At 50.1% G+C, this 17,492-nt stretch overlaps 7 annotated features.

The window, feature by feature from the left end:
- Positions 230 to 509: an enhancer, noted in NCBI's record as "active region_29532". NCBI's record gives its function as "activates an Ori minimal core promoter by ATAC-STARR-seq in GM12878 lymphoblastoid cells {active_cell/tissue: GM12878}" and the evidence as "EXISTENCE:reporter gene assay evidence [ECO:0000049][PMID:35858748]".
- Positions 5,806 to 6,787: an enhancer, noted in NCBI's record as "H3K27ac-H3K4me1 hESC enhancer chrX:39756695-39757676 (GRCh37/hg19 assembly coordinates)". NCBI's record gives its function as "activates a minimal SCP1, AML or CMV promoter by ChIP-STARR-seq in naive and primed H9 embryonic stem cells {active_cell/tissue: H9 hESC(naive and primed)}" and the evidence as "EXISTENCE:reporter gene assay evidence [ECO:0000049][PMID:30033119]".
- Positions 14,225 to 15,014: an enhancer, noted in NCBI's record as "H3K4me1 hESC enhancer chrX:39765114-39765903 (GRCh37/hg19 assembly coordinates)". NCBI's record gives its function as "activates a minimal SCP1, AML or CMV promoter by ChIP-STARR-seq in naive H9 embryonic stem cells {active_cell/tissue: H9 hESC(naive)}" and the evidence as "EXISTENCE:reporter gene assay evidence [ECO:0000049][PMID:30033119]".
- Positions 15,842 to 17,041: an enhancer, noted in NCBI's record as "MED14-independent group 3 enhancer chrX:39766731-39767930 (GRCh37/hg19 assembly coordinates)". NCBI's record gives its function as "activates an origin of replication core promoter dependent on BRD2, BRD4, P300/CBP and CDK7 cofactors, and independent of MED14, by STARR-seq in HCT116 cells {active_cell/tissue: HCT116}" and the evidence as "EXISTENCE:reporter gene assay evidence [ECO:0000049][PMID:35650434]".
- Positions 15,842 to 17,146: a biological region, named in NCBI's record as "MED14-independent group 3 enhancer GRCh37_chrX:39766731-39767930".
- Positions 16,450 to 17,146: an enhancer, noted in NCBI's record as "H3K27ac-H3K4me1 hESC enhancer chrX:39767339-39768035 (GRCh37/hg19 assembly coordinates)". NCBI's record gives its function as "activates a minimal SCP1, AML or CMV promoter by ChIP-STARR-seq in naive H9 embryonic stem cells {active_cell/tissue: H9 hESC(naive)}" and the evidence as "EXISTENCE:reporter gene assay evidence [ECO:0000049][PMID:30033119]".
- Positions 16,520 to 16,814: an enhancer, noted in NCBI's record as "tiled region #3177; HepG2 Activating DNase matched - State 8:EnhW". NCBI's record gives its function as "activates a minimal TATA promoter and a strong SV40 promoter by Sharpr-MPRA in HepG2 cells {active_cell/tissue: HepG2}" and the evidence as "EXISTENCE:reporter gene assay evidence [ECO:0000049][PMID:27701403]".

The following is a 17,492-nucleotide window of genomic DNA, read 5'->3' on the forward strand; positions in this document are numbered from 1 at the left end:
CAGAGGAATTACTCATCTTTTTTCAGTTGCAGATTATTCCAGAGTAGACATCATAGTTGATTTCAGCTAGTCTCCTACTGATGGCTGTTTTGATTGTTTCTATCAACGTCAATGCTGCAGTAAGTAACCATGTATAAATGTGGAGGATTTGACACATGTGGAGGACTGATGGTATAGATGGCCCCAAGTCTTTACCTCTCCCTGTATCATTGCCCTTTGACCCTTGACTTTGCTACTTCTTTCACTACAGGAGCAGAGTGCATTTCCGTTCCCCTTTGCCATGTTACTTGCTTAGCAGACTCAAAGAAAGCAAAAGCTTAAGAAAGCACTTGAAGTTTCCGTTTCCTCTTTTGTTTGCCTGTAATTGGCATGAAACATGCCCGGGCCAGCCTGAGAACAAGTTAGCCTGCTGGAAGATGAGAGCAGGTATGGACAGAGTCATACTGCCCAGCTGAGGCTGTCCTAGATAAGCCAGTTCTTAGCCAATCCACCAGCAGACCACAGACACACTAGTGAATTTAGCCAAGATTAACCTAGTCTAACTCAAATCAGCAGAACCGCCCAACCAAACAAATAGTGAGAAATAATAAATGGTTGTGGTTTTAAGGCACTAAAATTTGGAATGCTTGGTTATGTGGCAATAGCCAATTGATTGATACAACATACAATACATACACAGGTAGGGTAAATTCCTGGAAATGGAATTGCTGGATCAAAGGGTATGTGCAGCAGGGCATGGTGGCTCAAGCCTGTAATCCCAGCACTTAGGGAGGCCAAGGCAGGCAGATCATCTGAGGTCAGGAGTTCAAGACCAGCCTTGTCAACATGTTGAAACCCTGTCTCTACTAAAAACACAAAAATTAGCTGGGTGTGGTGGTGCACACCTGTAGTCTCAGCTACTCGGGAGGCTGAGGAAGGAGAATCACTTGAGCCTGGGAGGCAGAGGTTGCAGTGAGCCAAGATGGCACCACTGCACTCCAGCTTGGGTGACAGAGTGAGACTCCATCTCAAAAAAAAAAAAAAAAGGCATGTGCATTTGAAATTTTGATAGATATTGCTAATTTCCCTGCATAAGAGTTGGACTAATTTATACTCCTACAAGCAATGTAAGAGAGCACATCTGTAGACAGCCTCACCATCATAGCGTGTTATCAGTTTTTCTTTTGCCAACCTTCTAGGTAAAAAAATAATATCTCAGTATAGTTTTATTTTGTGTTTTCTTATTATAAGTGAGAGCAAGCAACACTTCACATGTTTAAAAGCCATTTGTAGGTCCTTTTCAATAAACTATGTGTCCATATCTTTTGCATATTTTTCCTATCAGATCACTGATTTTTTTAATTTCTAGGAACTTTTTATATATTGGAGAAGTTAGCTTTTTGGCTATAATTACCCTTCCTTGAAACCTTCCACTCCCAGATGAGAAGCAAGCAGTGGGGAGGAAACACAGACAACAGAGTTTGGACAGAAAGTTACTTTTCCTCAAACAATTAGCAACCATATATTGAGCTGTTTCTTAGTTCAGGGCTCTGGGTTGTATTCCAGCATATTCAGAAAAAATATGACACAGTACTCAAGAAATGTTCTGGAGATGACTGTTGCTAAATTCCCCCATATATCTATCCATAGTCCCTGCTTAAGGGGTAGGCTAGGGAACTCCAATATTCCTCATGACCAAACCTCCCTGACCACTGCTGACTGGCCAGGCCAATATACCTGATCTAGGGCGGAACCAATCCCTAACCCCGACTGAATCAATGAGATTCTCTTCTGAGATTTTTTAACTCAGAGACAGAAAATCAGTCAGAGAGGATTTATGGGCCCTGGAGCTTGTCAGGCCATTTCACAGAGTTAGAGCCGCCATTTGGGGCAGCCAAACTGAGTTAGACATAATCAGGCAAAGGAGTCAAGGAAGAGTCAGCGAGTAGAGACAGAACACATCAGTCACCCAGAGAACCACGGGGAGGAGTGACTGTGGGCCCCAGGCTGAGGGAGAGGGACAGAGCCCAGCCTCATTTCTAGATCTCTAAGTCTCAGTCCCTGGCCCCGTGATCCGTGGTAGTTTTGGGTTATACAAGGGACCCTTGTCTCCTGTTACTAAACCTCCCGTGTCTTTGAGCTAATTTAAATAGTATTCTGATCCTCGGTATCAAGAGTGTCCTAGGACAAGGTATTTTCATATCAACTGAAAAAGATAATAAAACATTTTCATCTTGTATGATATATTTTTGCCTTCAAGAGTTTTGTGGGTACCATCACCCCTCATTTTATAGCTAGAGGAAGTGAAACTGGAAAACCTGGGGGCTTGGCCAAGATCACCCTGACCACAAAAGGCAGACCTCAGCCACCAGCTGGAGGCATCTGCTGCCAAGTGGGCTTTCCCTCCATCCCACCTTGCTGTATGCAACCCAAAGCATTATATAAGCACGTGCTAAATCATGGGGCTATGGCTGTAAGTGCTGACCGGTTCCTGAGAGAGAGGGTGATCAATACTGGCAAGTGTAGCCAGGGAGGCTGGCCCGGGAAGCCGGCCGGGCCCTGAATGACCTCTCTGGCTTCCACCCATTCCCCCATACACTCAGAGATGCTTCCCATGGTCACTCTTGCTTATTTATTTGTATGGCACTCTTCCTCAGAGGAATAGGGCTGGTGCACTGAAGGAAAATCAGAGTACTGGTCCCTCAAAGTGTCAGGCTTGGCCTGCAGAGCTGCTCATGTGGCCCCTACAGCGGCCTGGCCACCTCTTCAAGGACTCACGGGGCCATGAAGTTCACACATGGATTGCTCTCCCCACCTACGCATCATCCTCCACCATATTTCACACAAGAAGTAGGGAAATGGGCCCCTGAGCAAAGTGGCCAGGCACCGGCCCCTCCCATCGGTACCCTCTGCAATCCGCAGAAGAGCCCAGAGGTCTCAAGTGGCCTCCAATTTCCCTACAAAGTAAGATCCTGAGAGTTCTCCAGCATGTAGAATTCCACAATGGGGGCGGGGTTGAGGGGGCAGCGGAGACAGCTCAGATCTCCCCTGCAGGGACAAACGCGTCCCCTCGAAGGAATCCACTTTGGCCCTTCTGTCCACAGCCACATCTAAGAAAATAATTAGTTCACCTAATCTTTCCTAAGCACCCACTATGTACAAAACATCCTGGAGGGCACTGGCAGGGATTCAGGAGGCTTCCGGGTACATTCTCCACCAGGGGAGGGGACAGGGCTGGAGCCTGGGGGGAGGGGAAGCAGGAACTAAATCTCCTGCCAAGTAGGACGGAAATTACATTTCTTCCCCTCCTCCTTCTTCTGCCTCCCTCAAAGCCCCTCCCTGACGACTCACTTTTTATATCTCTCCAATTACAGTTTTAAGCATTTAGGGTGTTGGTGTTTGAGTTTTAAAACTTGTTAGGCTCAATTTATGCCACTTAGTAAAACCTCTATTCCAAATGAAGCCAAATTAGAACTAAAACACTGCAAGCAATAAAATGTGAGCGTTACATCTGGGCTGGGTTGGCTTTTTGATTGTTTGTGTAAATGAAGCCTTCGGGAGCCTGTCTCAGGCCTGGGCAAGGGGAGCAATTCCCTCAGGTCCCCCTGGAGGTCTGTTAGCTGGTTGGGGCCAGCCTTCTCCCTCGCTGAGGCTCAGGTCTGGAAGAGCAGGTTCATGTGCAGCCAGGCGAAGAGCGAGCCTTTAAAACAGGTCACTGTAACCCTTGGCAATGCCCTCCCCATCGCTGACCCCTCAGCGGATGGTAGAAGCCACATGGTCTCCCCACAGCAACACGGCCAGCGCTTCCTGCTGGACGGCCAACAGCACCCTGGCAGGCCCTACGTCAGCAGGTGACAGCCACCCACTGCCACTGCACAGCGTACAATAAATAGACATTGAATAGAATTGAACCAGCTGTAACCACGGACACAGTCGGGAATATCTCCTCCCCGCCCTTGCCATGCAATGCCTGAAATATGCCCCTGCCTCCAATGGCCATTCCTCTCTGCTCTGACTCTGGGGCCACCCATCAAGGTGAAGGTGGAGCCCAAAGAGAAGGAGGAAAAGGACATTCTGAGCTACTAATTAGGCATCTGGTGTGAGGGGAGGTGGCTGCCAAGCAGGTCAGAGAAGTTCCTAACTGATGAGCCAAGGATCTAAGCTATGAGCTAGGCCTCCCTGGGGCCCTCAGGAGGTGACATCTGGGGTTCCTAGGCTGGCCCTGTCTGTGCCAGGGGAAGAAGGCAGAGAATACGGTGAGGACTGAGAGCTGGAGAGGGAAGATCAAGGCAGCGGCGATGGCCACAGTGATGAGACAGTGACTAAGGGCCAGTGTGCGGTTTGCCAAGCAATTTGGCTTGTCCCCATGCCAACAATAAAGGCCCAGTGTCTGGCAGGAGATGGGGATTTTGTGTGCAGAGGGACACCTTACGACTGACCCTGGCAGAGAGCCACAGTCATCAGGAACAAGAGAGGAGAACAGATATAAGGGGGGAAAGGTCTCCTTTAGAGGGGCAGGACTGGCCTCAGGCTGCAGGAAGGGTGTCTGGGGAGGATGCAATGGAGTTGAAGAAATTTCATGTGTGGTTGGGGGCAGGGGTTGCCCTACTGAAGGAGTCTATTATGTTTGGAATAATCTCTCAAAGCAAGGGGAAATAAAGTACAATCAGTGGAGGAAACCTCTGGAACAATTTAAGGGAAACTGGACAAAACCCCCCAGACTGTAATAAAATGGCATCTGGAGTCCTGCTGGTTCCCAAGGACTCTCTACCACAGGCTGGGGTCTCTGGAAGCAGACGCTGAGATGGATATTGGGGGTTAAGAGGAATTTGTGAGGGATCAGATCCTGTGAAAGGAAGTGGGGGGCAAGCAGGACTTGGCAGAGCGGGTAGTCAAGCTGGGATACAGGTCCAACAGAGTCTTGACTAACCTGGAGGAGAGAGTTCTGGAGTTCTGGAGAGTTCCCGGCCAAAATGGCAAGCCCTTTATTTATTTATTTATTTATTTATTTATTTATTTATTTATTTACTTTGAGATGGAGTCTCACTCTGTCGCCCAGGCTGGAGTGCAGTGGCGTGATCTCGGCTCACTGCAAGCTCCGCCTCCCGGGTTCATGCCATTCTCCTGCCTCAGCCTCCAGAGTAGCTGGGACTACAGGCGCCCGGCACCACATCCAGCTAATTTTTTGTATTTTCAGTAGAGACGGGGTTTCACAGTGTTAGCCAGGATGGTCTCCATCTCCTGACTTTGTGATCCGCCCGCCTCGGCCCCCCAAAGCGCTGGGATTACAGCGTGAGCCACCGTGCCCAGCAAAGGCAAGCCCTTTATAACAGGCCCCCCACCCCACTTCAGCACCAGATATGGGCCACCCCAGGAGAGTGTGGCCTTGGCCGAGGCATTCTTAAACGCCCAAGGCTTGACAGCTGGAGGCTGTCTGGAGACTACACAGCCTGCAGCTGGGCAGCCAGGCCTTCCACAAAGAGAGATCTGGGCGGTGCCCCTCCATGTCAGCCACTCCCTCTCCCCTCCCTCAATGTCTAGGCTTCTAGCACATCTGGACAGATCAATCTCTTTCTTTACCTCGGGGCCTGGTCGCCCCCTCACTGTTCCTCCGGAGGCTGATGCCTGTCTGGAACCTGGTCTGACCCTAGCCCAGCCTTGCGTTTTAGTTGGCCCAGGCCCACGGAGGAGAACGCTAGTCTGATTTCTCCATTGTGCTTTCCTCCTACACTCAGGCACTGAGTCCCGGGAACCAACGGCCATCACAGCTTGCGACTGCAGGGGGCCTCATGCTTCCGGCTTGTTTAAGGGTTGCTTCTGCAGGGCTGATCATTAGGCTTCATTGTGCCACCCACCAGGGCACTAGGCAGCCCAGGACGACCCTCGGACAAGCCCAACCACAGTTAAATAAGACAACCCAATCAGCACCACAAAATATCCATAGCTTGGCCCATCGGCTGTGGCGAACGTGTTCCTCTCCAGCCGCCAGCTCAGCCCCCCTTCCTCCCAAGAGTTGCCAGTGACCAGCTGTTACTTGTTCCCCAGCCATGTAGCTTCACCAGCAAAGAATCCAGGGCTCCGGCTCCACTCTCCAGCCTGGTGGTTGAAATAACCAGCACATTCTTCACATACCTGCCAGCTTCCCAACTTGCCTAGGCTGTTCAGCAGCCCGACTTCTCTCTCTGGATTAATATTAAGGGTCTTGAAGAGGAGCAGGACAGGTCTGGGGAAACGTGGGGACTGAGTAAACATTCGGGGCTAACCCCAGCCCTCACTTCCCCTCCTGACAGCTGGCCTAAACTCCCTGCTGCAAACCCCTTGAAGCTACTTCCCCTGGCACAAGTTATGGCCCAGAACGAAGTGTTGGGTGCTGAGCAGGGAAGCCAGGAGTGGCTTCCGGCTTACCTGGTAGTAGAAAAGGAATGCCTAGAGCACTTCTCTAAAACGATCTGGGGAGAAGTTGGGGGACAGTGTGGTACTCACTGTGGCTGTGCACATAAACGACACCAGCCAATGCGAGCCACATCAGGAGGGTGGTCTTGGTTGGAACCGCCCAGCCCACTCTTGCTTATAACTTGGGTCAGCAAGAAGCTGTGGGCTTCCAGGGGTGGAATCCTAGAGGAGACCTCCTACAGGCCTACTTAACCCCCATTACATTCATTCCCTAATATACTTTTCACCTTCAGCAAATAGTGCAAATTTGAATTTTTACTCACTGATCAAATATTTACCCTGTGAGCTGCCAGTCTGGCTGAGCTTGACTTCCACAATTCTCCACATTTGTATTAGATGAATTAGCATTTTATTGTTGGCAGATTCGACAGTGAGATAAGGAAGACCAGAGGTAGCAGCCCAAGAGATTCTCCATGAAGAGTATGTTCAGTTTAGTCTTTTGTCTTAGTGTAAGTGACAGGTCTCCCAAACAATCCATCAGATATTTTAAAACATTGTTTTGGAAGGTATGAAAGATAATTGCTCACAAAGAACAACAACTTTCTGTACTTCTCATCTTCGTGACACACACCTTCAAAATCTGTTACCTGGGAACGTGGGTTTAAGGAGTGTTTCATTGTTTCGTTCTGTTTTGTTGCCACAGAAGCTTGAGCAAATCAAGTCACCTCTCTGAGCCTCAGCTTCCTTATTGGCATAATGGGCACAGTAACATTACCCCTTTCAGAAGGCTGTTGTGAGGGTCAAAATAAATATTAGAGATGACCAACACTGTAAAATATAAAGCACTACATGAAGAATTGTATAAGACTAGAAACTGAGGCCATTTTAAAACATGGTCCCCAAAGTCTTTAACACTCCTCCCATCAAGAACTGGGGTCTATGTCCCCTCTCCTTGAATCTGAGTGGGCTCATGACTGCTTCAACCCATACAGTATAGCATGAATGACACTGTGTGGCTTCCAAAGCTGTGTCAGAAAGGTGCATGCAACTTTCACCTAGTTCTCGTAGCACAGTTGCTATGGGGGAAGCCAGTCGCCACATAAGAAATCCAGCCTTCCTGAGACTGCTGTACTGAGGAGGCCGCGCACAGAGGCTCCGGGTGACAACTCCTCCCCACCAAGGCACCGGACATGAGTGGAGCCATGTTGGAAACCTCCAGACCCAGCTCACCTGCCACTGGGTAGTCTCAGTAGATACCATGAGGAGTGAAAGAAGGGCCCAGCTGAACCCCGCCCAAATTGTGCACAATGAAATGGGTGTGGTTTTGTGCCTCTAAATTTGGGTGGTTTGTTACACAGCAGTAATAACTGGAACAAAAACTATTCACTTATTAAGTTCCTGTATCTGGCTGGGCGCGGTGGCTCACGCCTATAATCCTAGCATTTTGGGAGGCCGAGGCAGATGGATCACTTGAGGTCAGGAGTTCAAGACAAGCCTGGCCAACATGGTGAAACCCCGTCTCTACTAAAAATACAAAAATTAGCCAGGCGTGATGGCGGGTGCCTGTAATCCGAGCTACTCGGGAGGCTGAGGCACGAGAATTGCTTGAACCCGGGTGGCGGAGGTTGCAGTGAGCTGAGGTCATGCCACTGCACTCCAGCCTGGGTGGCAAAGTGAGACTCTGTCCCCCCATCCCCCACAAAAAAAAAAAGTTCCTGTATCTGTCTGTCAGAGATCAAACGCCCTTATCTCTTGTTTTGTTTCCTTGTTCCAATTGGACTCTAAGAGACAGAGTGAGGTGGGATATCTCCTGACCCAACTTTGTAGATATGGGGCCACAACGTGTTCAAGTGTCCCTGGAACAAGGGAAGACTTGAACCCAGAAGTCCTGCTGCCCAGTCCCCTGCTTTCCCCACAGGACAGGGCTGCCAAGTCCATAAAGGGAGAGGTTGTCTCCATGGGTTCTGATCCCATGTAAAAGAGTTAATAGAAAACTCCTAATTATCCAAGCAATAAAGTGGAAGGGTGCCACAGAAAACCACAAACAGCCCAGCATCCCCAATTAACTTCTTGACTGTGGAATGCTGGGGTTTTGTTGTTGAAGCACGCTGTCCTTCCCACTTATGTCTGGGCTTCTGCTAAAATGCAAAAGAAAAAGAAAAAAAAAATAGATGGGCTTTTCCAGAACCTACACTGCCGGGAAGGAGCTTGGTGTGGCCCAGAAGGGCGTGATAAGGGTGCTGGCGGTGGCCTGTCAGGGATCTTCAAAATACCCAGCTTCAGAGACTCCGGAAAGTGAGCAATCTACACCTGGAAAACAGGTTGCTGGCTGCACAGAGCTTTCCAAGTCTGGATGCCGTTTACACTTGCCGAAGCGCAGCCTTCTAATTCCAGCCGCTCATGAAAAGGCACGTAGATCCTCCGTGACGTCAAATCGCTCTTTCAACTGAGCATAATTTCTTTCAATGATGGGCTTGGAGGGGTTTCAGCGACGGTGGGTTTTTTTTTTAATGAATCATAAACATGCAGATCAGATTTAGTGTTATGACTGTGGTGCGCAGAGCGTCACTGTTAATTCTTGCTAAGCGCTGACAGCAGGATCAACCCCCAAACAGCACAGGCAAATACACCATCCCAGCCCCGGGGGCTTAGAGACTGCATAATTACAGACATCGCACAGTAGTCATTATCACCGGAACATCTCAGCCCAGGCATGGCACCCCCGATCCGGAGAGCCCCCTGGTGTGCCTGCCAGCTCCAGTTCCCTCAACCAGGGCAGAGTTTGTTCCCATCTTTAGACCAGAAGGTGGGTAAAGGTCACCAAAAGCTGGGCACAGCAGGTCAGAGCCGGAGTGCCCACTCCCCTGTTCTGAAGGTTGCAGTTCGAGGCAGTTGATGCTTCCTCTGAAATGCTAAAGAGAAGCTGGGAGGACAGGGGTGGAGCGCGGTGCAGAGTACACGCCAGATTTTGCTAAATGCCGAACAGCTGAACAAGTCCCCAGGGCTGAGGATCACTCGGTGTCTCTCATCAAAGGCAGAGAGTGGGGGCTGGAGTCAGAGCGCTAGCTCTGGGCATGCTGGGGTGCCGGGTCACTGTGTATGCCCCAAGATTGCCCAGGGGGGCCGCAGGAGCCACCGCCAGGCTGTTTTCACAGCAATCAATAAGGGCATCATAAAACCTCCCGTCTAGGGTTCTAACACCACCTTTCCTCCCGAAGATTTAAAGGGAAAACCAAACTCCTGGGGTCTGCTGAACTCTGCTGGGCTCTCCTTCCCCTTCTGGGTCAGCCTGCGAATATTTAATAAGCCTCAGCCACTTGCAAGTCTTTGAGTTGGAGCTAAGAGGCAAAAGAGGATAGAAAATAGGCAGCCTCAAGACCTGGAGGATGGGAAGGTGATTTTAGATATTTCAGTTCAATGTTTTCTGGTGTGGGAATGCCAGTAACCATGCATTACCATGCGTTACCATCCAGCATTCCAGAGTATTTGCTTCATGCTCCCTGCTTCGTATTTACGGTCTCACTTTGCTCTCCCAAGGACACCATGAGGTGGGTATTATCACCGCCTGCAAAACAGATGAGGAAACTGAGGCTCAACTTCAGCAACCTACTCAAAGCCACTCTATTCTTTCTGACTCTGAAGCCATACTCTTTATGTCGGTGGTCCCTGACCTGGGCTGCACATGGAAACCTATAGGGAGCTTTTAAAACACCCCACGCCCAGGCCACACCTGAGACCCAAGAAGTCTGAATTTTGGGGCTGGGACAGAGGCATCGGTACATCTTACAGCCCCCCAGCTGACTCCAACATGAAGTTAAGATTGAGAACCAGTGCTCTGTACCACTGGAGTCATCTTTCTTTCTCTCCTTCCAGCTTTCCTCCCTTCCTTCCAACAAATATGCATTCAGTGCCTATTAAATGCCAGGCTCATAAATGTTCCATAAAGTAGCTTCCTTCTCTCCAGAGCAGTAGATCTCAGGGGTGTGTGGGAGGGGAAGGACCCTCACAGACTGTCACTCAGAGTGACAAGAAGTGATCCTGACAGAAATGGACTCGCGACACTGGCCAGAAGGCAGAAATAGTGGTGTGGTCTAGGGAGCTGAAGGTTCCCTGAGAAGCAATCCTCCAGCTCTGCTACAAACTCCAGCAGAAAGGGCCTGTGGTCCCAGCTACTCAGGAGGCTGAGGTGGGAGGATGGCTTGAGCCCAGGAGTTCAAGACTGCAGTGAGCCTTGATGGCACCACTGTACTCCAGCCTGGGTGACAGAGCAAGAACCTGTCTCTGAAAAAAAGAGAGAGAGAGAGAGAGAGACAGAGAGACTCCAGAAAGGGTAGAATTTGGTGCTGACCATTCCAGCCTGGAAAATGTTACCCCTAAAGTGGCTTCCATCTTTCTGAGAGGAGAAAGGTGCACACCAACCTACAGGGCCACCTACAGAGCCACCCATAACCAAGGGGAGGGAGAGCACTCAGGCAAGTCCGACTGTACCCATCAAGCTGCTAGTGAGGGTGCAGCCAGGCCAAAGGAGTCCCCTTCCCATTGTCTGGAACAAAGGGAGAATGGGAATGTCCTGCTCCCTATTGTAGAACCCTTCCTCCCTTCTAGAAGCCAGGGAACAGTGCTGCAAATCAATTGTTTTCCAACTAAAGAAAGCTCTCTTGACATGGGAAGCCTGGCATTGCTTTGAATGCAATATGCAAGAAGCGTGCTTATTCAAAAGAATGCCAGCCTTCTCATGTCAAGTGAGACAGGGTAAATTTTCTTGGGCAACCAGCAGAATTTTTTTTTATCTTTAAGCCATAACAAGTAGAAAAACACTAACCCCTCACCTAACCAGCATCAGGGAAGAATGGGTTGTTTTAAAGAAATGAAGTTGCAGGATAAGTAAAGCTAACCCTCTGTAAACTCCAAAACTTAAAAAGCATAACTATTTTTAAATAAACCAAGTCTAAACTGCATTTCACATGTCCCCATTTCCTTAGATGGCGCTGACACACTTGGTGTGTGTCTTGGTGGCCCACTCACTCAGAACATCGACAACTGTGTCTTGCTGAAAGACAAAGAGGCCTTCTGTATCTTTGGTCCTTCATTGGATGGCCCCACCCGGCTATCCTCTTTGAGTTCTGGTTTCTATTAAATAGTTTGTTCCCATCTCTTCTTTTGCTCTACTGTTGACCATAATCCCTTCCTGGCCAAGGCAGAAGGATCACTTGAGCCCGAGAGTTCAAGGCTGTAGTGAGCTACCGCACTCCAGCCTGGGCAACAGAGTGAGAGCCTGTCTCTACAAAAAGAAAAGAAAACAAAAACAAAATAATAACCCCTCCCTCCCGCTTTTAGTATCCCAGAGTCCTCTTAGTCTGTGTCCAAACCTGAACTCATTTAATTATCCTTCCAACTTGTTCCTCTTTCTCTTGTATTCCTGATTTTAGTCATGGGAGTCAAAACAAAAGCAAAAATGAAAGGGGGTGTTGAAGGAATTTTAGAGTCATCTAGTTGGTTAGAATCGTGTGTGAAATAAGAGTAAAGAGGTTCTGATGAAAAAGGATCGAGCATTTGTACAACGATGACTACTTAGAACAGGGAATTCCTCACATATTTTGGTTCTTCTTGGTTGTTCCAGATACTTGGGATTGCTAAATCAAGTAATTTCTGGATAAGCAAGCTGTCATAGCTCATAGTTTTTTCTTTGTTTCCTTTGGGTTTAAAGCATCAATTTTGTATAATTCAAGAAACAGGCTATAATTCAGGGGCTCTACGGGAGCTTTTGACCTCTCTCCCATCTCAATTCCCCTATTACATAATCCTCCAGAGGAGATCCCCCAGGACTCCAAGTCGGAAAGAGCAACTGCCAGACCCGACCAACGTGCATGAGGCTTACACCTCCTCCTTCCCCTCTTCTCCTTTGCTTTTCCTCCAATGTGAGTGTACCCCACCCCATCCCACCCATGCTGCCCCCATGCCTGAGGCACCAGTTAAAAACCACGGCAGCGGGTAGGGCTGACCAGGAATAAAAGTGGCCTTGCAACCAAGACTCGCTAAAGTGACAGAGGGGAGTCCATCTCTGAGACAGTAGCTAGGGGAAGGTAGGCTGGCAAACCACCACAGTCAGGAGCTGACTCAGAAACAGAATTTGGTCAGCATACTTGGCACAGACCTGCCTGCCAAACCTGACTCATAGTCACCAAACTCAGAAGATTGGTGGATAAATCAGATGCCCAACACAGCTATTGGCAATGGGGTGCATTCCTTTCCCAGGGCAGGAAAGCTTGTGACCACCTCTGCACCGTCCTCTTTGAGGTTCCTGGGAAACTGAGTCTGTGATGGGAGTGTTGTACGTGTGTCATAGAAAGAAGAAGCAGAAGTCACAACCAACATCTCTGCCCCGGGTGGATCAAGCCGTGCCAATGTCCACTTTAGGCCTCTTGACTCCCTGGTGACCACTCCTGCCTTTAACACAATCTATCAAACTGGTCACGATATGACAGGCCAGGGCAGAGCCTTTCTTCACATCCTGAGACTGTACCTCTGACGTCCTGGGTGAACCAGGCTATCCCAGCTCTCCCCAGGTGCCCCCGTAGCTGAGAAGGGAGGAGAAAGTGTTTGGGAGATCAAGGAGGATGGACTCACCAACAGACAAGGTTCTCATTTTCCTAAGCGCTGCAGCTCTACAGTTCCTTATGGAAAGCCCCTCTAAACTGATTCCAGTGCCACTTAGAAAATCAGTCCCTCTGGCCTTTCCCTTCTGCTTTCAGGAGGGTGAAGGCTAATCATCAAACTGATTCAAAAGTTCTGAATTCTCAGAGAAAGCCTGAACAGAGACCAGAATGGGTGTTGCATCCTGCCTCTCCTGAGCACCACATTGGCCTGGCTGCTCAAGGCTGCCTGGAGACCACCGTGCACTGCCCTGATCTGTCATTCACCAGGACAGCCCTGCTCAACCTCGTGGGAGCAGCTCACCCACAGCCTCCTCACCGACCTCCCGGGCAGCTTGTCGGAGCCGTCTCTTTGCCTAACACAGAAGCTTTGGAATGAAGCAGGGAGAGAAAGACGTGAGTGGCGGCGGTGGGGGACCCTTCTCTGAGCTTATTAAGAATCTTTTGTGCGCCATAGAATAAGTCCAGTCTTGTCCGTCCTGCTCCCCCTGCACTTAACTTTTTCAGGCCTGATGAGCTTAAATGCTTCAGTTAGTCCATGAAACCAAAAGCACTCCTTGGCCTTTGACTGTGTCTGGGTTTCTTTTATGTGGCCATCATAATTAGACAGTGGCCCGACCCCGTGGCCGGAGGTGCCTGCTCTGGCACTCCACAGCCCTGTCCTGTCTCTGGAGACTCACACACTGTGCCAGACTGGAAGAACAGTCTGGAAGGAAAGCCCGTTGTCAAACAAATCATCGTTCTGGGAACACAAAGCCGCAGGGACCCTCGGGGTGCTGCTGACACCCGGGCCGGCAGCATCAGAGAGCTGTGTCTCCTGTGTGGCGCTGAAGCCCCAAGTTTGGAGACAGAAAGCTGGCTGGTGGCCAACAGCAGCAGCAGCAGTGGACACCTTATCTAAACAAAGGGAGAGGGCACCAAGCGTGAGGGGAAGGGGTAGGTGGACACTGCGTGGGTGGTTTCGTGTTGCAATTTTTTTTTCTCTTTTGTGGCTGTTGTTTTCTTTTTCATCTATTCAGTTTTGTAGTATTCAACAGCCGGGCGCTTGGCAAAACCTGGCAGCGTTATCCACACGGCCGTTTTCAGTCCAAATGGCTCCTGTCAACTTTTACAGCCCCGCGCTAAAACTCCAGGCACGTCTCTTATTGCCAGCACAGGGTTATTTATTTGCCCGGACTGTCTGGCCTCACATTTTTCACGTGTGTGTTACCCCGGCAGTTGCTTCAACTTCCCTCTGGCCCTTAAAACGCTAGTAAACGCCCAGTCCAATTTAGAGCTGGGAGGTGTTGAGCATTTCATCTTTTCAGGATCCTGCACTGGTTAATGTCATTTTCGTCTCCGTTCAGCTTTTGACCTGAAGGAAGGGGAAGCCTTCTCCACTGTGAAAATTACTCTTTCACTGGAAACCATTGTTACTAATAATAACCTCACCAGGCACACCATCGAATGGTCCGGATGCCCCCTGCCCGCAGGGGTGGGGCACACACATGACTCAGAGGGGACATGGCTGGCCCAGGTCAGCGGGTGAGGGCCACAGCCTTGGCCACTCCACGTCTGGAACCCTGGTCATGTTCTGCAACTGGGCCTTTCATTCTTTTTTAATCCTTTACACAAACAGTGTGTGTGTGAACATGCGCACGCTGGTGTGTCTGTGTGTGTGTGTGTGTGTGTGTGTGTTCACGCGCGAGCTTATGTGTGGCTTTGAAATCATCCAAAAAAGGTTTTTCATGGTTGAGGCTGACCTGGTGCAATGCAGAATATATTATTTCTTTCAGAGCGTGGATAGCAGATCTGCACGTGAAACACAGATCAAACACGGCCCACAGAAACAATGGTAGGAAGCATAACCAGAGTGAATCGATTCCTTGATCCTGCTCTGCCAAAAAATTAAAGAGGAGCACTCCTGGGGTTTTTAACCCAGATAAGACTTCAGCCACAGCCGTATTTCCCATGTTCCTGGATCTCTTGTTCTGGCTCTTATTCTGCGGATAAAATGTGGAATAGAGTAAGCAGTGTCGAGTTCTGCCGGTTCATCTGGCTTTTTAAAAAAAAATTAAATGGCTCTATCTCTTTGCCCTCAACACTTCTGCACACGCACATGTGCACGCACACAGCCTTGTTTTACCTTTTCTCCAGAACTAAACTGGACAGACTTTGCCATTTCTTTCAACAGGACAAGGAGAAGGTAGAAAGGGCCCTCTCAGGCATCAGCCTCTTAAAAGGACAAATTTCTTGAAGCAAAGAAAGTTCTAGTCCCCAGTCTGAGACCCATTCTGTCTCTCCATCCCCAAGTGATGACACAACCCCTTCGTTCTCAAAGATCTGTTTAAATATGTAGGTGGTCTTGCTTGAGTCAACTGGTTTTTATGTCAGCATTGACCTCAGTCCTGAGATCCTAGATTGCCCAGCTGGCAGAGCACTGGAGGGTAGAGCTCGCTGCAAGTGAGGCCAGCCCACCCCCAGCCTTCTGATGGGCCACTGAGGCCACCCCGTTGGGCTGGTCATCTGCAGCCGGTGTCCTCTCCTGACCTCTGCTCTAATCTCAAGGGCACCCTTTATTTAGACACCACAGTCCAGCCTGAGCCTCAAGTCCTCGATTCATTGGCTGGACATGAGCCAGGGACAGCCACAGGCTGGCTCCAGAGGGCTCCCCAAAAGAGGCCACAGAGGCCCCAGGAGGCAGGCTCTGGCCGAGCTGGAACAGAGAACGGAGGTTTAAATTTCCGAGGCCTCAGTTCGAATTCCAGCTCTCTCACTGGCGATGACCTTGATCCGTGGGGTAACTTCCCTGAGCCTGGTGCCTGCATCAATCAAATGGAAGAGGAGAAGACCACGTGAACGTGGAGCAGAGTGAGATGCAAAGATGCTGGCCTTGACGTTTGTAGTGATTAGTGAGGCAGCCACAAGCCAAGGAAGGCCAGCAGCCACCAGAAGCCAGAAGAGGCAAGGAACAGATTTTTCACTGGATTCTCATGAGAAAGTATGGCCCAGTGAAACTGACTTCAGGCTTCTAGCTTCCAGAACCATAAGAGAATATATTCCTACTGTTTTAAGCCACCAAATTGTGGTCATTTGTTATAGGCAGCCATAGGAAGCTAAGACAGAATTTACAAAGGGCCTCCGGGAGACCTCTGTGAAATGGTACTAGATATTGACTTGTATTATCTTAATGGGCCCTGACAACGAGCTTTTAAGGTAGTGGGCAAGGCAAGCCTTGTCAGTGTTTTACTGATTAGGAAATGGAGGCTCTGAGAAATTAAGTGTCTTGTTCGAGGTCACATGTTGTTTGGTGGCAGAGCTGGGACTGGAACAGAGGTGACCCAGAGCCTGGTGCTGGTCCCTTTCCACCACCCGCCATGCCCTGTGCCCACCCTCCCTCCTCTGACCAAGTCTAAGCAAGTGGAAAGGAGGGCTTGGCCTCCAGTGGGAGCTTAGCAAGGCCTCTCAAGGGCCTGGAAGACAAGGGGACCCTTCTCTAGCCCCCTGCCTGGCCCTGGGTGTTTGCATTTGGACATGTGCTGTGGCAGAGGCATCACGGGGGCACTGGATGCTCCATCTGGAGTTACGTCTCTTCTCCTAGAGGAAAGGGAATCCAGGGACATGAATTCTCTCTCAGTGACTCACCTCTGAGCCCTGTCAGGTCTCCCCGGGCCTCAGATTCCTCTGTGGTGACATGGAAATAATAACAGGGCCGCCCCCTCCTTGAGGAGCTGTGGAATTAGAGAATGAGCCTGCACAGAAATGCCCACGGTGAGTCGATTACCCAGTTCCGCTCTCCTCTGGCCCAAGCGGTGGCCCCGAGAGTCCCCTGGAACAGGAGGGCCTCAGGGAAATTTGCCAGGGGCACCACACAGAGAGCACGCCAGGGAGGCGTTGCTCAATCTCTCACCCACGTGGGCCCCAGGGAAAGCCCGCAGCCCAGCCATGACTCCTGAACTGCCCTGAGAGCCTGGGACAGGCTCGCACTGCGCTCACTCATCCTCTCTGTCTCTCTCTCTCTCTCATGCTTTTCCTTTATTTTCTCATGCTTTCCCTCTCTTGTGCCCACACTCCAGAAATATGTTTCCCATCCCCTCATTTCCCTGCATTCTCTGTCCTCCTCCTCCCGTCCTCCTTGCTTGCTGGCTTTCACTTACTCTCTTCTTCTCCCTGGTGCTCTGTTCCCCGCTCTGTGCCCTCTTTCATGCCCCCTGTCCATCACCCCGCCACTCTCTTGCTGTCTCGGCTTACTCTCTCCTGCTTGCCCTCTTGCTGCCTTACTTTCCTCTCTTGCCCTCTCACTCTCTGACTCTTCCGTGCTCTCTGCTGCCCTGGACCCTCCATGGCCCCCACCCCCGCCCTGGGATCAGGCTGAGGCCAGGCTTCCGCTGAGCTTCCCTCCTTGCTTCACCTCTTCCCTGCCGCGCTGCTGCCCTCGCTCTCTCGCTGGCTTCTCCTGCAAGGACTTGCTCCATAAAGCACTCACAC

Source organism: Homo sapiens, chromosome X, assembly GCF_000001405.40.
Source record: "Homo sapiens chromosome X, GRCh38.p14 Primary Assembly".
NCBI classification, from domain to species: domain Eukaryota; kingdom Metazoa; phylum Chordata; class Mammalia; order Primates; family Hominidae; genus Homo; species Homo sapiens.